At 50.8% G+C, this 27,756-nt stretch overlaps 1 protein-coding gene across 11 annotated transcripts in view, besides 2 other annotated features; it reads right to left on the reverse strand.

Annotated features, from left to right (window-relative positions):
* The window catches only part of TNS3 (tensin 3), a 307,433-nt gene extending 284,864 nt beyond the window's left edge, over positions 1-22,569 (reverse strand). For 3 of the 11 annotated variants that reach the window (XM_047420731.1, NM_022748.12, XM_047420725.1), the window contains exon 1: positions 22,034-22,094. Coding sequence is in view for 5 of the 11 variants with exons in the window: in XM_047420729.1 (XP_047276685.1) it covers positions 22,410-22,454 (45 nt within the window). In the remaining 6 variants the exon portion in view is untranslated. Of the gene's footprint in view, positions 1-19,821; positions 19,879-21,488; positions 21,682-21,855; positions 22,095-22,409 lie in introns of those variants that run through there. The other 8 variants (XM_047420728.1, XM_047420723.1, XM_047420729.1 and 5 more) reach the window with 6 other exon arrangements.
* Positions 21,430-21,967: an enhancer, noted in NCBI's record as "H3K27ac hESC enhancer chr7:47621045-47621582 (GRCh37/hg19 assembly coordinates)". NCBI's record gives its function as "activates a minimal SCP1, AML or CMV promoter by ChIP-STARR-seq in primed H9 embryonic stem cells {active_cell/tissue: H9 hESC(primed)}" and the evidence as "EXISTENCE:reporter gene assay evidence [ECO:0000049][PMID:30033119]".
* Positions 21,968-22,505: an enhancer, noted in NCBI's record as "H3K27ac hESC enhancer chr7:47621583-47622120 (GRCh37/hg19 assembly coordinates)". NCBI's record gives its function as "activates a minimal SCP1, AML or CMV promoter by ChIP-STARR-seq in primed H9 embryonic stem cells {active_cell/tissue: H9 hESC(primed)}" and the evidence as "EXISTENCE:reporter gene assay evidence [ECO:0000049][PMID:30033119]".

Consider the following 27,756-nt stretch of genomic DNA (forward strand, 5'->3'; position numbering starts at 1 on the left):
CGCAGGACTGCAAGAGCCGGCCGCGGGTCTCCCTTTGCAGCCCACCTCAAACTGGGCTTTTCTGCATCATTGCCATGGTCAGAATGTCTGTGACCCGCCCCCCTACCCCCAATTCCTATGTTGAAGACCTGAACCCCAAGGTGATGGTATGAGGAGCTGGGGCCTCAGGAAGGTGGTTAGGTCATGAGGCTGGAGCCTCAGGATGGGCTTAGGGCCTCATAATAATGACCCCAGGGAGCTCCCTCACCCCTCTACCATGTGAGGGCACATAGAAGTCACCATCTATGAACCAGGAAACAGGCCCTCACCAGACACCGAGGGCCTTGATCTTGGACTTCCAGCCTCCAGAACTGTGAGAAATAAATTCCTGTCGTCTATCAATTGCCCAATCTAAGGTATCAGGTTGTAGCAGCACAAACCAATTAAGATATCACTCTGTCCAAAACCTGGTGTTTTCATGTCTTCCATAAATCTGCCCAACCAAAGCCCTAAACCTAACTTCTCACCCGGTGGCATTCTCCCCAGACTCCCTTGTCCACCTCTCTGCTGCTGTCAGGGGCAACCAGTCCTTGGCCGACTCTGCCTGTGGTCCCGCTGGCTGCTCCTGCAACCCTCGAACTGGGATCCCAGCACAGACATCAGCCTACAAATGACCCCCTTTCCAGGGGCAACAGCAGCCCCACCTCTCAGCACCCCTAACTTGCTCCTCTCAAACCCACCCAGAACAGTGTCCTTTCTGAGGTCCTGGCTGGGGGACTTGGGAATGTCCTGGAGCCTGGAGCCTCCAAGTCCTCAGTGAGGAACCCAGGCGCCACCAGATCCATCTAGAAACAGGCTGTAATCCCCAAGCAACCCTGTGTGACCTTGTGTGACCCCCACATCAGGCAGGCCATGGGTGTCCCCATACACAACTGCCAGACCCCTGGCCTCTGATGTCAGGTCACAGTGACTGCTCACCCCAGGGATTTTCAGGTGTGACTTCATGAAAATATCACTGTAACACCAGAAGTAAACTGAGGCACAGCGTGGTCACCTCTTTGTCTAGGGTAATAGGGATAGGACGTGGTGCGACGCTGGTTGGGCAAACTTCAGAGGGTAAGCTAGGACAGATGCTCATGCCTCTGTAGTCCCACACACCTAGGTTTATTCTTCTGTAGCTCGAGTGCAATATTCTAGTGCTTTGTCCTTGTGTCTCAGAGTTGGACACATGGAGCACAGGATGCTCAAATCCCTGGCACCTTATTCTTAGGGGCCTGAATCTTATCACACTGCCTTTGGCCACCACTGGGAGTGTTAGAGACTGTTGTGTTCCACTTCTCTAATGTGGTGGGTGCAGGGTATGCTGAGGACTATGCAGGGACCCTATGGGACCACCCACCTCAGGATTCAGCCTCAGAAACTTCTCTACTTTCCAGAATAACTTGTTTCTGTTCATTATCTGTTTTTCTTAACTCTTTTTTTTAAATCGCTTAGATACCAAAAAACAATTCAAAACCATTGTTTCCCTCATCACAATGGCTACTAGGAAGCTCATAGCCAAATCATGCAGTCACCTCAGAAGTGTGAGGCTGTGTCATTCCTTAGGTGGGTTGCAGGTATCAGCAAGGGGCCAATTTTTAAAATAAAATTTGCTGAATAAGTAAATGGAAGAGTCAAGCAACATTTTAGAATGAAAAACATGGCCACAATATTTCTCTCCCAAGACTCGTCAAAAGGTGGAATCTATTTCCTAACCCTGGCATCCGAGCTGGTCTTGCTTTGGCCAATGGAATAGAACCTGAGGTGTTGCCTGCAGCTTCTGCCTTTGCCCTTGGGTGACCTGAGATAAACCTGCTAAGAAGCAGGACTATGCAGACAGAAAGGCCAGGCTGTGAAGACCTGCTGAGCACAGCTCCCATGCAGCTAGCCCACTAGACCTCAAGAAAGAATTTGTTTTCCTTTAAACCACTAAGTTATTTAGTCTGCTTCACAGTAGATAGCTGGTTCAGCCACTTAGTCTACTGGTAACCTGAATAGGTCAATCCTTACTAACAGCCCAAGGTGGCAAGTAATTGAAGCACAGTTGCAATACAGTTTGATAGGTAAACATTTCTCCATTGCAGTAATGATGGCAAAAATTCCCTGTGCACCCTGACCATCCAGGGGAGGAGTGGCCTCCCCTCCCTGGACTGACCCAGTGTATGTCTCTGACCCGGAGATCATTCTGGAAATGGAAAAGCCAGCTCATTTTTCCTCAACAGAGTTCTGCAAAAAAAATCTTTATCATTGATAGTTATCTTAAGTAGACTCAAAGAGATGGAATTAGATTTATTTGGTCAAAGGTGGATAAACACTTGAAAGGTCACACCCTTCAGTCTCATCTGCTGCCTTTTTTTTTTTTTTTTCCCATATGGAGTTTCACTCTTGTTGCCCAGTCTGGAGTGCAATGGCGCTATCTCGGCTCACTGCAACCTCCGCCTCCCGGGTTCAAGCGATTCTCCTGTCGCAGCCTCCCAAGTAGCTGGGATTACAGGTGCCCACCACCACACTCGGCTAATTTTTGTATTTTAGTAGAGATGAGGTTTCATCATATGGGTCAGGCTGGTCTCAAACTCCTGACCTCAGGTGATCTGCCGCCTTGGTCTCCCAAAGTGCTGGGATTACAGGCATGAGCCACCGCACCAGGCCTAGTCTGCTGCCTTCTACTGGAGTGCAACATTTCACAAAACTCTGCAACCAAGTTTATGGGACATCCTTGGAGATGCTGGTATGGCAGTGGAATTCTTTTTGGTGGAATTCTTAACTACGTACAAAACAAGTAAAGTCAGTCTCTTGGCTGTGCATGGGAAAAAGACTTTTCTCTCTGAAGATGACATGGGTAAGAACAGCATGGATAAATCAAGGCACACGGAAGATGGGTTTCAGGACAACTCCATGAGTGCCTGGGGATAATTCAACAACAACAACCGTTGGGAGCCAAGACACAGCCCCACCCCCAGCTCCGGGCCCAGCCTTCTCTGGCCATACCCTTCTTTAGCTATGCCCGTTCTTGTTTATGTCCCTAACAGCGAAGCTAGGCAAAACTCCCTGGGCATCCCCGGGCCAGGCCCTCTGCCTGGGCACACAAGGATCATCCAGAGTGAGTGAGGCAGATGGAGTGGTCACAGCCAGGAGCTGCATGGGCACCTGCCAGAAACACAGAACCCCTCCTGCCTGGAGCCCCCCTTCAAGGACTCTCAAACCTAGGCCAACGACAAAGATCTAAAGTCCACAGCCCTACCATCTGGACGGTGAGATAAATACATAAGAACAGTTCCTAAGCTGAGGGCAGCTCACACTTTCACGAACGTCTCCTGGGTGCTCACTCTGAAAGGTGCCCTTGAAGAAGGCCTTTTCACCAGTTTTGGTAGAAAAGCTTCAGGACCCAGTGATGACCTCCTGGGTCCTGAGCTAGTCAACCATGGGGCAGGACTCACTAGCAAGACTGAGTGCCCAACCTCTGAAGCCAGGATGCTCATTCCCTCTGGAGGACACCAATCCTATCCTGGGGAGATCCAATCTCACCCCCAGGGTGTCATCAAAGTCGACTTACAGAAGCTCTGCCCCGCTTCTCCAGAAAGTGGCTCACCTTTGTGTTCCACAAGCCTAGTGATGAACAGTGTATTATCTCATGACAGCCCTGGGTTGAGGCCACTGAGCAGGGAGGACACTGTTGGTGGCTTTTCCCACACCCACTTGCCAACCAGCATAAATCTTCCCACTGCCCCAGACCACAGTCACAGTCACAATCCCAATTCCTTGCAGTGGTCATTAATTTTATGCATCCTCTTGGCTAGGCCATGGTATCCAATTGTTTAGTCAAACTTCAGTCTAGATGTTGCATGAGGGTATTTTTTACATATGATTAACATTTAAGGCCGGGCGCGGTGGCTCACGCCTGTAATCCCAGCACTTTGGGAGGCCAAGATGGGCAGATCACGAGGTCAGGAGATCAAGACCTTCCTGGCTAACACAGTGAAACCCCGTCTCTACTAAAAATACAAAAAAAATTAGCTGGCATGGTGGCAGGCTCCTATAGTCCCAGCTGCTCAGGAGGCTGAAGCAGGAGAATGGCGTGAGCCCGGGAGGTGGAGCTTGCAGTGAGCCGAGATCACACCACTGCACTGCAGCCTGGGTGACAGAGCGAGACTCTGTCTCAAAAAAAAAAAAAAAAAAAACCATTTAAATCAGTGGACTTTGAATAAAGCAAATGACTCTCCATAATGTCAGTGGGGCTAATCCAATCAGTTGAAGCCCTTAAGAGAAAAGACAGATTCCGAATTCTGCTCCAAGCTGCCTTCAGACTCCAGACTGCAACCTTGCTGGGCGTGGTGACTCATGCCTGTAATCCCAGCACTTTGGGAGGCGGAGGCAGGCAGATCAGGAGGCCAGGAGTTCAAGACCAGCCTGACCAACATGGTGAAATCCCATCTCTACTAAAAATACAAAAATTTGCCAGGCCTGGTGGCACACACCTGTAATCCCAGCTACTCGGGAGGCTGAGGCAGGAGAATAGCTTGAACCCAGGACGCAGAAGTTGCAGTGAGCCAACATTGTGCCATCGCACTCCAGCCTGGGCAACAGAGCAAGACTCCGTCTCAAAAAAAAAAAAAACAAAAAAAAACAAAAAAAGACTGCAACCTCAAGAACGGCTAAAATTTATTCATATATATATATGCGTATATACATGTATACGCATATATATATGAACATGCCCTGTTGGTTCTGCTTCCCTGGACAACCTGACTGATTAATATCACTAAGCTCTTGGCTGCCTCCCCGACCCTATCCTCATTCAGCTCTCAGTTTCCACAGCACCTTCTTTTCCTCTGCAGACATGTCCCCTTCTCACAGCTTGGTCCACATTCACACGTGGCTACCTACTTGCTCCTGAGTTCATAGGAACTCCTCGTTGTAAGAAAAGCAGACTGTCTTGCACACAAAAGAAGCTCAGTCTGCATCTCTATGGTGAAGAATCAAAATCCTTAACCAGTAGAGCAGGCTATAAAGACACTGGCCTCCAGAAATGTTGATTTTTTTATTTCTATTTTTTTTTTTTTGAGACAGAGTCTCACTCTGTCACCCAAGCTGGAGTGCAGTGGCGCGATCTCAGCTCACTGCAAGCTCCGCCTCCTGGGTTCACACCATTCTCCTGCCTCAGCCTCCTGAGTAGCTGGGACTACAGGCGCCCACCACCAAGCCCGGCTAATTTTTTGTATTTTTAGTAGAGACGGGGTTTCACTGTTAGCCAGGATGGTCTCGATCTCCTGACCTCGTGATCCACCTGCCTCAGCCTCCCAAAGTGCTGGGATTACAGGCATGAGCCACCGCGCCCGGCCTTTTTTTTTGGAGACAGAGGCTCACTCTTTCGCCCAGGCTGGAGTGCAGTGGTGCAATTTCAGCTAACTGCAACCTCCACCTCCCAGGTTCAAGCGATTCTCCTGCCTCAGCTTCCCGAGTAGCTGGAACTACAGGCGCACACCATATGCCCAGCTGATTTTTTGTATTTTTAGTAGAGACGGGGTTTCACCATGCTGGCCAGGCTTGTCTCGAACTCCTGACCTCGGGTGATCAGCCCGCCTCAGCCTCCCAAATTACTGGGATTATAGATAGGCATGAGTCACTACGCTTGGCCAGTTTTTTATTTCTTAAGGTAATAAGCCAGTAGGTGGGGGACAAAGTTAAATATAAACAAATGCTGAAAATACGCACAAATTTACACTAGTTAACACCAACCTCGCTTTCCAATTTCGCACTCTGCTGGATTTCTTAATCTTAGGCAAAAATTCACATTGGGGGTTCAGGGAGCTAAAAGGAGTTCTCCTAAGTATGAGAACTGTAAATGCAGCTTATTCCTCACACGGGCGCTGGGAGGCTTTGGAAGAGCAACCAGCCACAGTCTGATGGCATGATATGCGTGGATTACTGCAAAGCCACATGGAACTTTAAAGACATCTCAATTAACAGCTTCACTGGGGTTTCAGATTAGTATACATATTGGAAAAAAGATTAATCCAGATGAGTGGTTCTAAACCCTGCCGAGCCGCAACCCAAAGTGTCTGACGCAGGAGGTCTGTCTGGGGTGGAACCCAGAACTGGCATTCCTAACAGTTTCCAGGGGATGCTAATGCTGGTGTCAGGACCTCACTGTGAGAACTGCTGACTTAAGATAGCACTCGTCCAAAAACATGGACTCCTCAACAGAGCCACCCAAGCAGCTGCCCGGCTGGTAGGTGAGCCTGGGCAGGCATCTATCATTTGGCAGTGATGGCAGCCACATTCACGTTTCCACTGCAGTTACAATAGCGTGCTGCCCAAAGGTACTCAGGGTGCTCTTACAGAGTCAGGGTTTGAGAAAAGGCACACATGTTTGTTTTGTCAAATTTGCAAACTGCCTATGGAATCAACAAAGTAAATACGATTTTCTCCCCCTCTACTCTCCCTTTTACTCTGAAGAGCTTGCTCCCCAAGCAAAAGGGATTGCTAAGTAACAGTCTGATTATGTGCAAGACAATAGTGTTTCTAAAGTGCTTAAAAACAGTTAAGAACTACCACTGCATAACTCCTAAGGGAATAACTGATTCAGGCAAAGGCCATCCTTGTATGTTAAAATGGCTGAAAGTTGTTAGGAGGCAGTATCAAAGGTAAGAAGGGAATCGGGTCTCAACCAAGTGATCTGACTTAGCGGGCCAACAGCAGGACAAAAAGACATTCCATCTCATGGCCGGGCACGGTAACTCATGCCTGTAATCCCAGCACTTAGGGACACCCAGGCAGGTGGATCACCTGAGTGCAGGAGTTCGAGACCAGCCTGGCCAACATGGTGAAACCCCGTCTCTACTAACAATACAGAAAATCAGCTGGACGTGGTGGGTGTGTGCCTATAGTCCCAGCTACTGAGGCAGGAGAATCACCTGAAACAGGGAGGGAGGTTGCAGTGAGCCAAGATGGCACCACTACACTCCAGCCTGGGCTACAAAGCCGGACTCCATCTCAAAAAAAAAAAAAAAAAAAAAAAGACATTCCATCTCTTAATGTGAGGCAAGCAAGTAGAGGTACCTCACACATATGTAATCATTTTTTAAAAACTGCTTATCCTGAATCTAATGAGGAGAGAAGAACCGTACAAATTCATACTGTGCAACAATCTACAAGGCAAAGTCCAGGAAGAAATAACATTGTCCCTATTTTCAGATGTCATGATTATCTACATGGGAAATGCCCAGGAATATACAAAACAAAACTTTGCAAACTCACAGGATACAAGGTAAACATACAAAAGTCAATTGCATTTCTATGTACTAGTAATGAATACACAGACACAGAATTAAAAATACAAGGCCATTCACAATCACTTTAAGACGTGAGGCCAGGCACAGTGGCTCACACCTGTAATCCCAGCATTTTGGAAGGCCGAGGCAGATGGATCACGAGGTCAGGAAATCGAGACCATCCTGGCTAACACGGTGAAACCCCGTCTCTACTAAAAATACAAAAAATTAGTCGGGCATGGCAGGGGGCATCTGTAGTCTCAGCTACTTGGGAGGCTGAGGCAGACGAATGGAGTGAAGCTGGGAGACGGAGCTTCCAGTGAGCAGAGATCATGCCACTGCACTCCAGCCTGGGCAACAGAGCGAGACTCGGTCTCAAAAAAAAAAAAAAAAAAAAAGAAGTGAGACACTTGGGTGTAAATCTGAAGACACACACAGGACCTGTATGCCAAACTACACAGATGCCAATGAAAGAAATGAAAGATAATCTAAATAACTGAAAAGATATATCATGTTCATGAACTGGAAGTCCTGCAACTGGTGAGTGGTTGAGTAAACTGTGGTACATCCCTCGTAGGTAACATCGATCAGTAATAAGGAACAAGCTGGGCCTAACATGACTTATTCTGCCAGTCGCCCCCTAAAACAAGAGGCTCGGGCATCCGGCTGATTCTCCAGCCCAATGTGACATGCTGATTTCTAAGCTGCCTCCACTTTGCTGTCTGTACCCACAGGCACCCCGGCAAAACTCCACTCTGGGAGCTCCCCCAAGACCCTCTGAGAGGCTGCCCTGCCATCAAGCTCTTGAAAAGTTGGCACAGGGAGCCCCATTTTTCTCAAAGGAAAGGCCAGTGATTCAAAACACTAAGCCTTGGACTCCAGAGGACCCTGGGGCCTGCAGGAGAGGGTAGGGAGAGGCGAGCCAGGCCACAGCAGCAGGCACATAGTCCTGAGCAGGCCACGGGATCGTCTTCCTTCACCTTCGAGATGCAGCTGGAAGAACTGGGGGCTCCAGAGCAGGCAGAATGGAGACAAGCAGACTCTGGGTCTGAGAGGCGTGATCGGAAGCCCCTTGCCCTGCCATGTCCAAGCTGAGATGGTGGGCAAGCTACCTCGCCCTGCATTCACCTTCTGAGCCTCAGTTTCTACAGAGTTAGTGAGGGTTAAATGTATCTGAGACACAGCAGGCACTCACTGAACATGAGCTGCATGAAAGGAATGAGTGAGTGAATGAATGAATAAAGGAAGGAACAAGTGAATCTCCCCGCACAGGGCCTCACACACAGTCAATAATTCATGCCAGTTACTTCCCTGCCTGCGGCCTCCACTCTGCGGTGTGCATCTTCTATGCATGGCAACAAGCCTGAGGTCTATGAGCGGCTGCTGTGCCATATCGCATTCGTGCAGCTGCAAACAGAACAGTGCGTTATGGAAACCCCGGCAGATGTGGGGGAGTCGTGAGTGGCACCCACGTGATACCCTGCCATGTGTTTTACCCAGGGCCAAGGCCAAATGCCAACTGTTTGACACAATGGCCCTGAAGTGGGCCGCAGCCTCTTTGAGGAAGGACAGATGGATCTGCTGATAGAGCGATAACTTGTACCGGGACACACTATCTCCTCCTCACTGTGGCTGTGAACAAAGCCCACAGTATTCACAGCGTGGCTGCCATCACCACACCCACTCCTCCTCCAGGCAGGGATCTGAGCAGTTGCTCATCTGAGAATTGATGTGCTTCAGGCACGAAGCCTATGTATTATATGAACCCAAACATCTCTCCAAAATTTGGCTAGTGTCTTACGTGCACTCAGTCCCCGATGCAGTATTTGTGAACACGATCTGGGGGTCTCAGCACAAAGCAAAAAGGGGGAGAGGAGACATTTTCCCAGGACAAGTCTGCTGGATGCCCAACATCTTTATAAGAACAAAACCTGCATTTAAATATTACACAAGGGTCCAGGCGCAGTGGCTCACGCCTGTAATCCGAGCACTTTGGGAGGCCGAGGAGGGTGGATCACCTGGGGTCAGGAGTTCCAGACCGGCCTGGCCAACATGATGAAACCCCGTCTCTACTAAAAATTTAAAAAATTAGCCAGGTGTGGTGATGGGCGCCTGTAATCCCAGCTACTCGAGAGGCTGAGGCAGGAGAATTGCTCGAACCAGGGAGGTGGAGGTTCCAGTGAGCCAAGATGGCGCCACTGCACTCCAGCCTGGGCAACAGAGTGAGATTCTATCACAAACACACATACATACATATTACACAGGGACGGGGCGTGGTGGCTCACGTCTGTAATCCTAACACTTTGGGAGGCCAAGGTGGGTGGATCACCTGAGATCATGAGTTCGAGACCAGCTTGGCCAACATGGGGAAACCTCGTCTCTACTAAAAATACAAAAATTAGCTGGGCGTGGTGATGGTCATCTGTAATCCCAGCTACTTGGGAGGCTGAGGCAGGAGAATCACTTGAACCTGGTAGGTGGAGGATGCAGTGAGCCGAGATGGTGCCACTGCACTCCAGCCTGGGTGACAGAACAAGACTCTGTCTCAATAAAAAGAATAGGTCGGGCGTGGTGGCTCACGCCTGTAATCCCAGCACTTTGGTAGGCCAAGGCAGGCGGATCACCTGAGGTCAAGAGTTCCAGACCAGCCTGGCCAACATGGTGAAACCCCCCCTCTACTAAAAATATAAAAAATTAGCCAGGCGTGGTGGCAGGCGCCTATAATCCCAACTACTTGGGAGGCTGAGGCAGGAGAATCACTTGAACCTAGGAGGCGGAGGTTGCAGTGAGCCAAGATCACTCCATTGCACTCCAGCCTGGGCGACAAGAGCGAGACTCCGTCTCAATAAAAAGAAAAAATAAATAAATAAACATTACACAAGGGATTACACAGTGCTGGTGGCTCTGCATCAAGACTGGAATCCATTTTCCGAGGAAGAAAAAGGAAATGATTCTTGCCATTTGGCAGTACAGATTTGAAGGAAACAAACCCCACAACACACTCTGTCCAGAAAGAATATTCTTTTGTGCTGAAGTCACAGCTCCGTAGGTGCAACTCTTCTCAGGAAACCTGCATGGACTCCTGGGGACATTTGTCATCAACTTTCAATAACACAACAACTTGCAATGTGGCTATTTTCCAAGGAAATATCAGTAGGCTAGATTCTCAAGTCTGTAAGATGAGTTGTAAATGGTTCTCTTCTGCAAGTTAAAGGAATAATTTACAAAGCAAAACTCCAAGAATGAAAGTTGTGGCCCTAATAAAAACATGAACAAAAGCCTGGGAAAATGTGCCGGCATTTCCCTCTCTCCTCGTAAGCAATCACTTCTAGAATGTTTTCATCTAGATGTGTAACTATCCCCTCCCATAGTGAAGTGTGCCCAGTGAGCACCGGATTGGGAGGCCAGCCCCTGGCTGTCCAGAGGATGGAATGGAGGCTCTGAGTGATGTCACACCTTGGCAAGTACACGTAGCTAACTCTAAGCTCCTTCTAAAGCTCTTATCATTTTTTTTCTTTCTTTTTTTTTTTAAGCAGCAGCAGCCTTCTTGTCCTTGGAGGAATTCAGATTTAATGAGGACAGAGAGATACAACGAAAATTACACAACCCAATCCCACAGAATGTGAGCAGATGAAGGCCATGGCTAACTGGGCCTCAGAACAGAGGGCCAGGCCTCTGGTAGTCAGCGTCCCACCTGGACCACTCTGGAAGGGACATAGCCTGGGAAGGACTCAGGAGGCCCACAGCTCCACTCCCTTCTCAGTCAGTCTGTCTTGGGGGGCCCAACGTGGAGGAACTTGGGCCAATCTGAAAAACACTTCTTTTGGGGTCAGAGCTCTCAAAAGGGTGACCAACCACAGATGAAAGAAAAGGAATCGAAGGCTAACCTGGTTTCCACTGGAAAGAACCTCGGGTACACAGTGTCGACAGCTACTCCTAACAGCTCAGTGAGGTCCGTGCTATCAACACAGTTTTCAGCACCACTTCAGAGAAGTTTGGGGACCATCCCAGGGCCACAAAGAGAACAAGTGGCAGGGACGAGAAGGGGTGCCACCTGGGTTCCTGCAAAGCCTGCTCCCTTTCCGCTTCACCCCCAGGGTAAACAGGCAGGACAACGCAGCCACAGGCTGCACCCACGCTGGGGACTTCCTCTTGTTTGCTCAAAGCCATCTGGCAGTATGGGAAACGGAAAAGCTGGTGTCCCCAGAGCTGACAAGAGGCGAAACCGTGCAGAAAAACCAGTGTGTACAAATGAAAGGAGAGGCAGTACCTCCAGAGGGTCAAGGGGACTCCAGACAATAGCGATCACAGTCGGCCAAAAGCCTCTGTCCGCTCCCACTCATTCGCCCAGCTCATCTTGGCATTGAAAACGGAAGCCGGGTCTGTCTGGAAATCAGCTGGAACCTTTTTGGCTACAAAGCTGAACTCAGCACCAACAGCCCCCAGCTGGCCGCTCACCAAGAGTCCTGGTCACAGACTCACAGGCCAAGGTCGGCATTAAGCGGCCCAGTGCGTGTCTAGCCCTGTCAGCATGCCGCTGGCCACACAGCTGTGCTTGCCCCGTGCGTGGTGTCCCAGGGAACTATGCTTTGGAAGAACTAACCCAGTCTGTGAAGAGCTAGCCTGGCAGGAGCCACAGCACCTCCCACTCCTCTCACCGCCAGGGCCCACAGGTCCTGGCAGCCAGCCATCAGGGAGAGGAATGCAACTCCGCAGGGCATGACCACGCAGAGGGGCCACCTCACTGCTAGGTGTGAGGCTGCAGAGACCTCCCCATGGGCTCCGCACAGACAACCAGACACCCGACAAGCTGAGCTGATGTGGAATGGGCATGTTCTAAAAGAAGCAGCACTGACAAACATCTTTTACTCACAAATAGCCCGGCAGCCGAGGGACCATTTGGAGTAAGGCCATCCCTCCAGGGCGTTCTGAGAAGTCACTACAGTCATAAATGGGAGGGTGACACCCAGAGACCGGCAACGGCAACGCCTAGGTCGGGATCCAGGTTTGGGAGAACCATTCGCGCGGTAGTCACACACACACTATGCTTCTCACGCCCACTGCTGCAAACACCTTCGTGGGAAGAGGAAAATGAATGATCGTGTGTTCTGTTATCCTGTGAGAAGAGTGAGCCTTTAAAAAGTGAATAAACACCATTCCAGTTGTCGCAAAATCTCTACTAATAATAAGCAAAATGCCTTAAAAGCACAGTATGCTCTCGATGACCTATGTTTTGGATTATTCCTATTTAATGGAGGTGGGGGTGGGGAGTTAAAGAGCAACACATGATCGGGTGCAGTGGCTAAGGCCTGTAATCCCAGCACTTTGGGAGGCCGAGGCGGGCAGATCGCCTGAGGTCAGGAGTTCGAGACCAGCCTGGCCAACATGGTGAAACACTGTCTCTACTAAAAATACAAAAATTAGCGGGGCGTGGTGGCACACGTCTGTAGTCCCAGCTATGGAGGCTGAGGCAGAAGAATTATTTGAACCCGGGATGGGGAGGTTGCAGTGAGCTGAGATCGTGCCTGGGCGACAGAACGAGACTCCGTCTCAAAAAAAAAAAAAAGAGCAAAACATAGCAACTCTGTGTGTTGCGGGTTACCTGTCTCACTCAAATTTTTCATCAGAATAATCTGGTTACACCTGAATCCTTGCCAGTGGAAAATGAGAAAGGCCTCACAGGGATATGTGGGGAGTTGCCACCAGGGCTGCCCCAGAAATCAAGGGTCACGTGTGGCCCAGGCTTGGGAAAACATTTCTCAAACCACGTGGTCCCAATGCAGGCTGGATCTCCAGAGGTGGGGCCCACCCACCAGTCCTTCCCTCGGAAAGAGACCACGGCCCCAAGGACTGAAGCCCAACCAAGTAACTTAACTATTCATTATGCTAATATGCCCTTTGTTGAGGACCCAGGAGCCAACGCCCTGATACAAGCCAGCAGGGCAATGCCTTCACCCACCTCACGAGCAAGCCTATTCTTCCCTTATGGGCTGTGCTCTTGGAAATTTCTGTGCAGACTCTCTCCACCTCCCACCCTGGGGACACCCTGCCGCCCTCCACGCTGCCTCCCACCAGCCCGCTAGGTCGCTGGGGCATTGGTCTCAAATCTACAAGCGCCATGGAAAGTTGTCCAGGGCTTTGCCACAGTTCTCCGAAAGGGTGAAACACCCTACCTTGTGTCTTTGTATTCTTCTTTGCCTTCTGCAAATCCCCTTTGCTACTCCAGAACACAGCAGGTGGCCCTGCCCAGGGCCTCTGCCCACGCTGCCCCTCCATCGCGACGGGTCCTTCTGCAAAGTCGCCCAGGATTTAGTCCCTCACCTCCCCCAGCCCAGCATCCTCTTGGAAAGAAACACCAGTTGACTCCAGATAGAGCAACCCACCACCCCGTCTCTGGGCCTGCAGGCCTGCCCGGCCAGGGACCTCAAGTAATCCAGAGGAGAAACATTAGGATGAGTCTGCCTCCTCCTTGAGCCCCCAAATCCCACCAATTCTGCAAATGCCCACGTTGGAAAAGATGCCAGTAATTCTGGTTCAACATGTTCCAAGGAGGGGAAAACGACAGCCTGCTGTTGACATTCCTGATTTGGAATTGTGAACACATTCTTAGAGGGTAAAAATTAACCACCATCAGTTGGGGAAGGCATTATGGGGAGGGCATTATGGCTGCACTTCAAGGACTGATCACAAGAACCGCCTCACTCCAACTGCCCAGGGCCTGCATCGACGTTTTAACAGAGCCAAACCAGAGCGAGCCCAGTTCTGGACCGTTCCCTCAGAAAAGCAGCCGAGGAAACCCTGAGTAATTGCACTCATAGATCATAGGCTCTGGCATGTGGTTCCCAGACTGAACCATTTATCCAAATTAAAACCATTCTCCAGAAACAAAATCAGACCCTTTTAATTGAAAATAAAACCAAGCAACCCCGAAGGCTCTTTTTTTTTTAAATGAAAGACATTCTTCCTGCTTTCTCATCCCATTAATCACAGAGTTTACACAATCTGTCAAAATAGCTTGGTAAGAAGTCTCCCTCTTCCTTTTCCTGCAGGCCTGGTTTTTACCCTGGGGGTGATAACCTAGCCATGTTTAAGGACAGCGGGTGGACACCGTGAGAATCCAGCCAGCACCCTATGTCTCAACTGCAATTTGACCATATATACTAAGGAGTTCCAAAAAGCTTGTGCTCACCAAAAAAAAAATGGAAAGCAGGGACTTATACACCCATGTCCATAGCAGCATTATTCACAACAGCCGAAGGGTAGAAGTAACTGAAGTGTATCAACAGATGAATGGATAAACAAAATGTGCTATTCATACAGACACACACACACACACACACACCCCCACACACACGGTATTATTCAGCCTTAAAAAGAGAGAAATCGTGACACATGCTACAACATGGATGAAACCTTGAGTACAGTATTCTAAGTGAAATAAACAAATCACAAAAAATACAAATACTGTATGATTCCACTTGTATGAGGCACCCGATGTAGTCCGTTTCACAGGGACAGAAAGTAGAATGGTGGTTGCCAGGGACTGGGGGGAGGGGAACATGGGGAGTTAGTGCTTAAGGGACACCGAGTTTCAGTTCTGCAAAATGGAAAGAGTTCTGGAGCTGGAGGGTGGTGATGGCTGCACAACGTGAAGGTTCTTAATGTCGCCTAACTGCCGCAGTTAAACATGATTAAAACGACAAAGTTCATGTTATGCATGTTTTACCAAAGCTTAAAAAAAAAGATGTTTGTATTCTTTGATGCCAAAGAGTCTGCTAGAAATCCTTTCAAGAGCATGACTAGCTACGATCTGCCCAAAGACCTATGTGCAAGCATAACACAGGATGTAAATGATCAATGAACAAATAGTGAAGTCCAAATATCATGGTACATCCACATACTGGAGTACTATACTGTCATCAGCAGTCATATTTATGCAGAGCTATTTCTGGATTGGGAAATGCTTATACTGCCACATTGACTTTAAAATGCAGGATACAAAATAATACATATGGTATGATCTCAGCTTGGTAAATTAAAAAAGCACAGAAAACATATGGCACACAAGAAGGCTAAAATATGAACCTCTGTGGAGGTGATATTAGAAGGAATTTTTTCCTTTTTCCTTAGCATTTCTCTATCTTTTCCAAGTCTACAATGAGCACATATTACAAGAAAACTATTTTGTAGAAAAATAGTCAAAAAGCAAATTAAGAAGCAAAGATACGGCCGGGCGCGGTGGCTCACGCCTGTAATCCCAGCACTTTGGGAGGCCGAGGAGGGCGGATCATGAGGTCAGGAGATCGAGACCATTCTGGCTAACATGGTGAAACCCCGTCTCTACTAAAAATACAAAAAATTAGCCGGGCAGCCAGGCGTAGTGGCAGGCGCCTGTAGTCCCAGCTACTTGGGAGGCTGAGGCAGGAGAATGGCGTGAACCCGGGAGGCAGATCTTGCAGTAAGCTGAGATTGTACCACTACACTCCAGCCTGGGTGACAGAGTGAGACTCTGCCTCAAAAAAAAAAAAAAAAAAAAAAAGCAGCAAAAATATGCTCATTACTTGAGAGTCTTCTGCTACTCTCCGAGTAATACAGATAAAAAATGTGCCTCCCTCCTGCGTGCAGGACAAGAGAGAAATGCATTCTTCACCCACGTAGAGCCCTCCTGTCTCCCTTAGCACCTACCCAAGACATGGACACAGGCCCCCTTTCCTCCAGCCCTGTCCACCCGGCTCTGCAGGTCTTTCCAGAGGAGACAAACTGGAAACACCTGTCCTTGATCTTTGGAGAAAAACTCATCTCTATCACGCTGGCCTCCCCTGTGTCAACCACTTAGCACACAGCTCCCTCCCAGTGGATCAGATTAGCACCTCCAAGAATGAGGAAGTGGTTCTCCAGAAGGACCACAAGGTGCTTTTCAGGCCCCTGGGGCCATGGAAATTCAGCAGGACCAAAGTACACTGGGCCTGGAGCCCAAAAGGAGGAAACAAAACCCCACGTGGCTCCCACCCCTGAGCTCCGGAACCAGTGGAGGAGCAAACCTGTGGAGGAACGACAACCCCAGGCTGCAGGTGACAAATGACAAACACAGTCACAATAACCCCAGGACCTCTCAGGACAAAGGACAGTTCTGCCCCAGGTTTGTGGGATGCCAGAGCCTGGCCTATGTCACTGCCTCCTGTGCGTACCTTTGATCTACCTCCCAAATGGCCAGTGATGAAAGGGGTAGGCGCCCAGGGACACCTCTAAGAAAGGTGATGGATTACAAGGTGGAGAAGAATGCCAGGACCAGGCCCCTTTGTTTGCAGAGCCAGCCCGGCGCTCCAGGGAGGAATGTGCACAGGCCAGGACGCAGATGCCCCTGCTAATGGCCCAGTGTGCCCCAGGGCCCACTCTCCTGCCCGCCTGCCCTGCACAGCCAGATGTGGGCCTGTGCCTTTTATTGTGTGGCTCCAAGTGAGTGAAATGTTACACACTGCAGCTGTGTTCCAGGGTGATGGGGAGAGCGCAGATTCCTGAATCCTCCAGCGAGAAATAATCCCAGGGCCTGGAGCAGAGCCCGGGCTCTCCTGTAAAAAGAAAAGCAACTGCAGACGGCAGTGAACGGCCTTGGCCAGACACTTCCCGAGGACTTTCTTTCTTTCAGTATCGCCACGAGTGTATTCCAGTGTATTCAAAGCATCAACGAATTGGTCTCTACTTTTCAGGAGCAGTTTCATAAACTCTACACACAAGAGGTGCCACGTCACACTGTGGCTGCCAAGACACAATGAAAGGAGGTGACACACTTTAGTCCACCTGGAGGTGTCCCCGGTGTCCCCAGGGGCATGGCCTGGCTAGGAGTGGCACTTGTAATCGTCAGCAGGGCACCCGTATTCATCCTTCCTGGGTGCCGACAGGTTGCCGCTCGCTTGGGCAGCTGGAAGAAAGATTCCTAAAGATTCTTCTGATATCTTAGAAACAAAGCCAGGCCTGCAAAGGGCGTATTAAGTGCTATTATCTTTCCCCAAAAGAGAAGAGGAAGAGGAAGGGCAGACAATCTAACATGAACCATAATTAGAGCTGAGGGAGGAAGGAAGAGTAAAGAAAGGCCCAGCCTTGGGGTCCGAGGAAGCAGCTGGGGCTGGCGCACTGGCTGAGGTAGACAGCAGGCACGCCGCAGCTCCTGAGCCTTGGCCTGGCCACTCCAGGGGCTGGGCTGTGGGTGGGGACTGCACAAACCCCTCATCTTGGCAAGAACTCCAAGCATTGCTGACGGACCGGGATTCAGATCCAAGGCTCAGTATCCTCACAACACACACAAGTTACTTGAGCTCGCTAAGTCTCAGCGCTCTCTTCCAGAAAAGGGAGACCATCAGGATGGCATACATGCACGGTTCAGCAACGATCAGACTAGGGACAGAAAGTGCCCAAGCCACCTTGGGTACTTGAGTAGTAAAAGGAAGGGGGTCTTGTTAGCCGCGTTATTAGGCTGAGAGCTGGCGGGCTGTTTGCAGAGGGCTCCCAGGGCTTCCTGCCCAGCGCTGGGGTGGAGACAGGGACAGAGAGGTCTCTCCCCTGAGGGGTGGCTCTGAGGAGCACTTCCCTAGCTCTGGGAGCACCTCCCTCTGCCAGAGGGAATTTTCTAGATCACAGACATAGAATCCTTCAGTATAATCTTTCATTCATTTTGCCCAGGAGACAAAAGAGTAGTAGACTACTGCCTTCTAAAAAAAAAAAAAAATCGGCCGGGCACAGTGGCTCACGCCTGTAACCCCACGCTTTGGGAGGCCGAGGCAGGTGGATCACCTGAGGTCAGGAGTTCGAGACCAGCCTAGCCAACAAGGTGAAACCCCATCTCTACTAAAAATACAAAAATTAGCTGGGCATGGTGGTATGCGCCTGTAATCCCAGCTACTTGGGAGGCTGAGGCTGAATTGCTTGAACCCAGGAGGCAGAGATTGCAGTGAGCTGAGATGGCCCGACTGGACTCCAGCCTGGACTCCAGCAAGACTCCATCTCAAAAAAATAAAAATAAAAAAATAAAAAGAAGCATGTGAGAATCCTCCCCTTCCCTGACACAGTGAGGCATTCCGAGGGACCCTAAATTGTGTGCAGTGCTTCATCCCCAAGTTGATGGCCCCCATCCTCAGTCACCCTCATTTTCACTGGCCTCCTCCCTCCTGTTTCGCAGAGGCAACTCCCAGCGAGGGTAGGAGGCAACAGGTGAGGGATACCAGGTAGAGCTGCGCCAGGTGCATGGGGCAGGGGGTTGGGGGGGGGCGGTGGTTAGAGGTGTGTCTAGAGGGCCACGGTGCTCCTGGAGTACACTGAGCAGGACAGGAGATGCCGCCATGCAGACAATGGAGACACCCGAGGGACCCTGAGCTCAGCACTACATCCCACATTGCAGTGATGGATGTGTACCAAACACATTCCTGAGTCACAGAGTACAAACAGAAAGCTCACGAAACTTGGAGAGTCTAGTTTTCTGCTTTTACGAGAAACGGATAGACATCAAGGAAACCACTGTTCCTGCCCGAGCTGCACTCGAAAAGCCCCACGGCAGGACACGGGCCTGCATCCGGATTCAACATACTCTAAGATTCAAAACGCCCTCAATCTAGGAGAATTTAGTCCTGCTCAGCAGCATTTTGGTGGCAGCGATTTTTCTTGTCTCAGCGTTTTAGGAGCAGTGAGGCAGCGTGGAAACGACACAACTGTGAGCCATGATCCCTGTGAAGATGAAGCCACGCAACACGCCCTTCACTGTGGGGGCAGAAAGAAAGAACTGTGTTCCATGTTGTGATGGTTTTTAATACTCTTGCTGTGAGGAAGAGAGTAACTAAGTTAATCAACCACCTACTTAATTAACCAACTAACCAGCATCCCTCATTCTAGATCAACAAGGATAGCAGCAGAGGATTCTAGGTAGACAGGACTGGCTCTAGGTCATTCCAGGCACAGCTTGCAGGGGTTAGCTGATTCCCCAGTGATTTCTGGGGTCCTACAGGAAGGACCCGGGGTCCCAGGGTCAGCTGACCTCCTGGAGAGCTTCAGACGCCCAGACCCACCCTTCCCATGATAGCTCCTGCTGCATGGGGCAAACCCACCAGATCAACCCGCAAGACAGGAGGCCCCTCCCTGGGAAATCTATGGGGGCCGCTGTGAGGAAGCCTCGAAGCCTCAATTCTAAGCGTGCTGCTGAGGCACTCAGCAAATGTCTCTGGCTTCCTAGTAAGTGGCAGGGATCTAAACAATGCTTTCTGCCCTCAGGAAGGTGGAAAGTTCCTCCCCCTCTCAAGTTCATACACAGGGACACAGGGAGGGAACAAGAGGCTTCCCCTGAACAGGGGTGGTTTACAACAGGCTGATCTTAAGAAAGGAATGGGGCACATAGAGTCAGAGAACTGGGCTCATTCAGATCCCTAACTGTTCCCAGACTTTAAGAATTTACTTGGTATTTTACTCATCTGTAAAATGGGTCCTTGTGTAGAGTCCTAAGCAGATATAAGCTGCGACTGCCAAATGGTAGGTCAGCCCTTCCACTCACTGTTCTTGCCATACTGCCTCCTCCTCAGGTCTCTGCTATCCCCTTCAGCAACACCTCCTGCAGTGGAAGAGCATACTTTGACACCCCCTCTCCTGCCCTTTATTTCCAGAGTCACATTTGCAAACAGCTCACTTTCAAAACATTAGGTGCCAAAGAGACACTTTGTTAAAAAAAAAAAAATCAATTTGCATTCAGGAATAAGTAGTGCCCTGGGGCTACTAGTTTTTCTATCTTGGTAGTTTTTTAAAGACATAATTCAGCTGAGCTGCTGATAGCTATGGCAGCCTCAGCTGAGGAATCGCTGTCTGGACATGCATTAGAATTCAGTCGACAGACGCGCAGCAGCAGCCAGGAACAGGGGTCTGGGACCCTAGAGTCCTGTCCCAGAATCCCAGGCTGCACTACCACCATGTTTCATTTCATCTCGGCCAAGTTACTTAGCCTTCCTTTGCCTCAGTTTACTCGTCTGTAAAATGGGGTAATCATAATCCCAACTCCCTCCAAGGAATGTAATTTGGGTGAAATGAAATGAATGCATGCAAAGCATTTAGCACAGGCAAACACTCAATCGGTATGCCTGTTACTTTGTCTTCGGGGTCACCATTACTATTCCTAAGGTCAGGAGTCGGGCTTGCTGCCAGTTCCTCCTGTCAATTCCCTGTGTACACACCCCCCACCCCCTGTGCTACCACACCCCCACCAGGACCCAGTGCACCTCCATCTCTGTGTAATGGCCTTGCCCCTCCACCCTCCAGCTGCAGCGACTCCCCACCCCCTCCCTGGCCCTCAAGGCCTCAGCACAGAAAAGCCTTTCTTAATACTTGTTGATTGATTTGCAAATATAACCTCACAGGCCCCAAAGAGAGAAGAACCAGAATCACCAGAACAAGTAAACCTCATTCAAAAGGGAAAGCATGAAAGCAATTTAAAAAATTAATATGCACAGACCAAAGCCTCAAGAAAATCTAAAATGTCAAAGGGTTGGTTAGTTCAGAAGGGCCATGCAATATTAATACAATGAGTTCTGCATTCATACTTTTCAGTATATTTTCAGAGTCCTCCATGATCATGCATTCAAATAGTGAAAAAAATGGGGGGAAAGCCAACCCGGAAGATCAAAGTGTGTGAATGCGCCCCAAGGAAGCCTGGGGGCTTCCCAGGGGGTTGTGACCACCCTCAGTAGTGCTCTCTGCTGGCCCCACACCCTGATGGCGCTTTGAGTTTTTCAACCACGCTGGAGTTCGGGTCATCTGCTGACACTGTCTGGAGAATGCCTGAGGAACGCCTGAATCTCTTCCCGCCACAGACACTCAAATCACTCCAAGCAAAGGACCCGGGACTCACATGTCAGGCCGCTGCACAGCACCGACACAGAGACCCCTGGGCCGTCCGGGACCCTCCCTCCTCCTGCTTGTCAGCGACAGCTCCCGCGTGCCAGGAGGCACATGCCACACAGCTGGCCCCCAGCCTGGGACAGCACCCCCCACCCCAGAATATCCCCCCACCCCGAGGTCCCGTCCTTCAGGGAAAAAAAGGAAGCGCGTAAAGACCCCCTGCCTCCCACCCACCAAAGGGAAAGGGAAAGAGACGCACTGGAGAGCTTGCCTAGAAAAAGTAGGAGAAGGGTCTTGAGCCTGCCCATTGAAGCCCCTAGCTGCGCTCTCCACCTGGAGTCTCGAGACGGAGTCCTAGGGAGCAAAGTCCGCTCGGTCCCGACAGCGACTGCGACATAGCTGCTCCGGTCTCTGCCCTCAGTCCAGGGCGCCCGGGCGCCACGGGTCCCACTCGAGTGGTCCTGCGCCCCAGCCAGTCCCCAAACCCAGCCAGTCAGCGCCCCCGTCCCCGGACTCCGGCGAAGCTGGCCCGCGCCCCAGCCCCTGTCCTGGGACTCCTGCCGAGCCCCCGCCCCCCACGCGCCGCAAACCCCGTACCCGCGCGCACCAAACCCCTTGCCCGTGCGCCCCCAACCGGGTCCCCGCGCTCCCTAACCTGGGTTCTCCCGTGACCCCATCCCCGCGCCCTGAGCTCCCGTACCCCGCGCTCCCCGAACTCTGTCTCCGCGCTCCCCGAACTCAGTCCCCGCGCCCCAGCTCCAGATCTCTGTGCTCCCCAAGCCTCGTTCCTGCGCCCGGAGCGCGAAAGCCCGCGCCGGGCCCGAAACAAAGAGGACCGCGGCGCGTGGCCGCGTTTCCTCCTTCCCCGGCCCCAGTACCTGGGGGAGCCTGAGGCGCGGTCCGGCAGGGCGATGGCCGCAACGAGGCTGGGCTCCGAGTAGCGCGCGGGCGGGCCCGTCCTCCTGGCTGGCTGCCGGCGCCCGCGGCAGGGCCCCCTCGAGGCGGCGCGGGCAATCGCCACGGCCGGCCCCCGCGCCCGCGCCCCGAGCCTGGCGGGTCACCTGGCCTCATCACCCTAACAATGCAGCGCGCCTCCAGGCGCCCTTCACCGGGGTCCCCCGCCCTGCCGAGGTGCGCCCTGGGACCTCCCTTCGCTGGCCGCAGAGAGGACCTGGAATTATCAGACCCATTGAGCAGCCCAGGCTCCAAGTGGTCTGGAGGCTTGCAGGTTCCGCCGGGCCGGTGTTAGAGTACCTGGGGAGGCGGGTTCGGATCCTGGTTCCTGCACAACCAGTTCATTCTTTCATTCAGCGCCTGTGATTAAGGTGCTCTCCGGGAGCAAGACCTACCCTCCCTCCTGTAGCTCATAGCCTAGTGGGAGTCGCGCATACATAAAGGAGCACAGCCGCTCCGGAAAGCCTAGGGTGCCGTAGAAGCCCCTGAAATACCCAGCTAATGAAGGGAGGAGGTCAGGGAAGTCTTTAGAAGTCACATGACTTCTTAAAATGCGCCGGGACAAATGAGCAGAATTTAGGCAAGCCAGGGGAAACCAGAAAAACGATCCCGAGCAGAGAGATTCTCAGAGGAGGAAAGGCCTATAGGTTGTCCATCCTGACTGTCCATCCCTGAGATTCAGATGGCCCTGAACTCAGTCGCTTAGCCTCAGTTTCCCCATTTGTGAGATCGGGGGAATGGAAAAAGTTTGCAGAAATCAGAAGTGCTCTTCCTCCAGGGAGGTCACAAGAGAAATTTCATCAGCGGTTTGTCCTGTGGTCCTTTCCAGGAAAACATCCTCCCCGCCAGCCTCTCACAGAAGAGACCTAGATTTCATCTGCCACGTGGAGCAGGCGGTCTCAGAATCCCACCCGGAGCAGGGTCCAGGGCAAGTCTTGGAGGACAGTCACCAAGAACTGCTTTGGATTCGGGAACAGAGCTGCCTAACCCATCCGCAGCCCTGGGGTCCTGCCCTGTTCCTCTGGCCCCTTCAGGGCAGCGGGGGAAGCAGGGAAAACAGCCTGTCAGAGATGGCAGAGAAACCGAGCAAGAATAATTATCCTGGAAAAGACTTTCAGAAGTAACCACCAGAAACTTCGAGTCCCCAGATCCAAACAGCTGAGAATGTGGGGCCTGAGCCACGCTCTGACTCCACTCCCACCACATGAGGAGAAACAAGAGCTGCTTTTCTGGAAGACTTGAACAACCCCTGCTGTGCTCTGGAAGGTAGTGTCATTTCTCATCCCCAGACTGATCTGGGTATTTATTCCCAGGCAAAGGCTTCATGAGCACCATGCCCCAGCCCCTAGAGATGAGGCAGGCATTTTTCCTACACTCTAGGAGACACCAGGTCAAGAGTCAATGAGATGAGTCAAGGGGTGCCAGGGAAGATGCCATAGGGGAAGGTGGGGAGGAGGTCACAGCCAGCTGGGTTAGGAATGGGGGTGAGGCTGGTACTGTTACGATCTCCTTTGTCCTGATAAGGAAACAGGATCTGACATTCTAGGCAACTTGTTCAAGGTCACCCACCTGGTCAGGCGAAGAAAGTGGGAGGGATCAGGACTATCTGGCCTTGAGGCTACTCTTAACTTCTTCCCAGCTGCCTGCCCACACCATCCACTCTGTGCAATTGGACTAAATCATCACTTTGCTCAACCCTCTCTTCCATTAAGACCGTGGTGATCTTCACACCCAGAGCCAATTACGTGCTATTCTGTGCATCACAGAAACCATCATAATGCCAAAAACCATGTTGGCTGAATGACAACATGAATTTGAGCTTCTTGCAGTGTTAGGGCACCCATTTACAGGAGGTGACACTGTTGTTTGTCTGAGAGCTCACAGTCAGGAAAACTCAGTGCAGTGCTGGGGTTCTCTGACCCTTTGTCAGGGAGCCTCTTCTAAAATCTCTCCAAACTGCTACCCACACCCAAGCCAGATGGCCCCACCGGCCACACTGCCCTTGTTGGGGTAGCAATGGAATGGGATGCCCCAACCACACCTTTGTTTCTAGAAAAACTGTGACTTGGGTGCTCATTCGTGCAGTGTCTGTGGTTATATTCCCTGGCAGTGTCCCAAGAAAGGAGAAGAAAAACCGGGCTCCAGTATCCCCACGCACTCTGTGTTGGCTGGGATGGCTGTTCCCCGGGTTCCCCACACCTCGTCTAGAGGCACATGAAGGGAAGCCTCTCTGGATCCCCAATCGGGACCTGGGCCCCTTCCAGAGCTTCGCTTCCCCAGCCCAGGGCCTCCCCACTTCGCAGGCTGCAACTTCAAGTTTCCAAGAAATTAAACAAAAACAGGGCATGAACCAGTATCTGAAAAAGGGAATGTGCATTTTTTCCATCCTTAGCCATCCAAAAAAAACTCAACTTTGAAAACAAAAGTCTCCAACATTTAGCTGAAAAAAAAAAAAAGCAGCAATATGCCAAGAGTGGCCTCTCCCTCCTAGTATGCCAAGCAGAGGGCAGGGGAGTCTGGGCAAGAAACTCCCGCCAATCTCCTTCCTCCCTGAGCCCTTCTTTGCAGACTCATTCTTGCTCCTCCCCTGTAGGAGTTTTAGAAGATGTGTTGGAAGCTTGTCATTGCAATGAAGATTGTCTTTGCCACCGCAAAAATCTGAATTTGTATCCCTAGATCAAGGGAGGTATATGAGCAAGGACTTGGATATTTTTCCTTATTTCTTACTTTCTGTCACTGAAAATATTTCCCAAAGACCAACTGAAAGAGACAGCAGGAAACATTACACAGGATGGAGTTACAAAGCTCTACAGCGCATTCAGAGAACTGTGGAGTTGGAACATGAGCAAATGCCTGTGTTTTGCCTTAAGATACTGAGTCTCGGCCGGGCGCAGTGGCTCACACCTATAATCCCAGCACTTTGGGAGGCCGAGGAGGGCAGATCACAAGGTCAAGAGATCGAGACCATCCTGGCCAATATGGTGAAACCCCGTCTCTACTAAAAATACAAAAATTAGCTGGGAGTGGTGGCACGCACCTGTAGTTTCAGCTACTCAGGAGGCTGAGACAGGAGAATCGCTTGAACCCAGGAGGCGGAGGTTGCAGTGAGCTGAGATCGCACCACTGCACTGCAGTCTGGGTGACAGAGCAAGACTCTGTCTCAAAAAAAAAAAAAAAAAGATACTAAGTCCCTTGAGACTCTTACTAGAACACCTGGCCCTTTCCTCTCTTCCTTTTTCTCTTCCCAAACACACGAATCCTCACCTACAGCTCAACAAAGTGGGCTTTACAGTTGCCAGGCCTGGCTAGAGGCACCTGAGCTTTTCCGTGTCTCAGAACCTTTTCGGAATTTACATAACCTTGGTGTTTGTGATGGCTCATGTCAGATGTCAACTTGATTGGGCTAAGGGTTGCCCAGATAGCTGGTAAAATGTGATTTCTGGGTGTGTGGGTAGCGTGTTTCTGGAAGAGCTTAGCGTTTGAATGGGTAGACTGAGTAAAGCAAATCCATCCTCACCAGTGTGGGTGGGCACCATCCAGTCCTTCAAGGGCCCAAGTAGAACAAAAAGGCAGAAAAAGGGTGAGTTCTTCCTCTTCCTTCTTGAGCTGGAACATTCATTTTCTCTTGCCCTCAAATATCAGTGCTCCTGGTTTTCAGGCCTTTGGACTCAGACTGGCAATTACACCACCAACTTTCCTGGGTCTTCAGTTTGCAGACATAGTTGTGTGAGCCATAATTGTGTGAGCCAATTCCTATAATAAATTTCTTCTAGGCCAGGTGCAGTGGCTCACGCCTGTAATCCCAGCAATTTGGGAGGCCGAGGCGGGCAGATCACGAGGTCAGGAGATCGAGACCATCCTGGCTAACACGGTAAAACCCTGTCTCTACTAAAAAATACAAAACAAAAAAAAAATTAGCCAGGCGTGGTGGCAGGAGCCTGTAGTCCCAGCTACTCGGGAGGCTGAGGCAAGAGAATGGCGTGAACCCGGGAGGTGGAGCTTGCAGTGAGCCGAGAATGCGCCACTGCACTCCAGCCTGGGCGACAGAGTGAGACTCTGTCTCAAAAATAAATGAATTAATTAATTAATTAAATTTCTTCTATAGATCTGCATATGCCCTATTGGATCTGTTTCTCTGGAGAACCCTAATACAGCACCTTGTTTCCAAAAACTGCACCTGCACACCAACTTCTACAAACATGGACCCTGGGAGCCCACTTTGTGGATGCCCACTGCATGGATGCAGATTCAGTTTCTTTTTCTTCTTCTTCTTCTTCTTCTTCTTCTTTTTTTTTTTTTGTAGACAGAGTTTTGCTCTTGTTGCCCAGGCTGGAGTGCAATGGCGCAATCTTGGCTCACCACAATCTCCGCCTCCCAGGTTCAAGCAATTCTCCTGCCTCATCCTCCTGAGTAGCTAGGATTACAGGCATGTGCCACCACGCCCGGCTAATTTTTGTATTTTCAGTAGAGACGGGGTTTCTCCATGTTGGTCAGACTGGTCTTGAATTCCCAACTTTAGGTGATCTGCCCACCTCGGCCTCCCAAAGTGCTGGGATTACAGGCATGAGCCACCGCGCCCGGCCCATGCTCTTCTTCTTAACATACCTACAGGGACTTCGTGCCCTGTGCCAGCCCCATGGCCCTCTGCTTCTAGGATCACTGCAGTAAAAAAACAGAGCCTGAATGAAGTCAACATTGGTTACTCTGGTTGGATCTGAGATTCCAGATTTTTCCGACTGCAAGAACCTTCAGTCAATGGCCCCTTCACTACCCCTAACACATGCTTGACTGACTCCAATGATGGGGATCACTCAGCTTGGTAGAAATCAGCCCATTCTTTGCCCAGTAGGAAGGCCTTTCTTGGAAAGCAGTGATACTCTGATGACATCATGACAGATGTCTCCCAATAGCTATAAGGGAACAGGAGAGGGAGCCTGGGGAGGGCTCTCTGCAGGGGCTGCCTGAGAATCAGGAGTCTGCCAGGCAGACCTTCCTGGAGCCATGTGGGTGGAGGAGGGGCAGGCTGCAGGTGCAAAGCGGGAAGCCCTGTAAGAGCTTGGTGTCGGTGCGAGGGGGCAGTGCTTGAGCCTGTGCCAGGCAATGCAAGGAGATGGCCAGAGGGGACAAAGACAGGTGGTGAGAGAGAGCCCACAGGAGGCTGCCAAGAGCTTAGGCTGGAGAAACATGCAGGAGGGGGCCAGATGGTGGAATGGCTAAACTTGGATCCTTTAAATTCAGGTAGATTTTAGTAAGAATCCTGGAGCTGCATCACAAACACCTCTGCAAGCCTCAGTTTTCTAACCTGTAAAATGAGGGTATTAAAACTAAAGCCACATGGACTTTATGAGAACTGGGCGAGATTGCCCTCCTGAAGCTCTTAGCACAGTGCCTGAGGCATAAGGAGAACTTGGCAAACCACGGCTGTTTGGGAGGTGCCGTCAGCCTGGGCGGGCCTTGGAGATTGGCTGGAGAGGGGAGTGAGTGCAACCAGCCTTGAGAGGCGCCCTGGCCTGAGAGTGACCGCTGGTCCCACAGGGTCTGGTGCCTTAGGGGTACTCACAGAAATATAGACCAAAGCAGCTAGATCATTGGCTTAGGGCTCTGTGGTTTTGCTTTGTGGGCCGGGCGCAGTGGCTCATGCCTGTAG

This window comes from Homo sapiens, chromosome 7, assembly GCF_000001405.40.
Source record: "Homo sapiens chromosome 7, GRCh38.p14 Primary Assembly".
Classification (NCBI taxonomy): domain Eukaryota; kingdom Metazoa; phylum Chordata; class Mammalia; order Primates; family Hominidae; genus Homo; species Homo sapiens.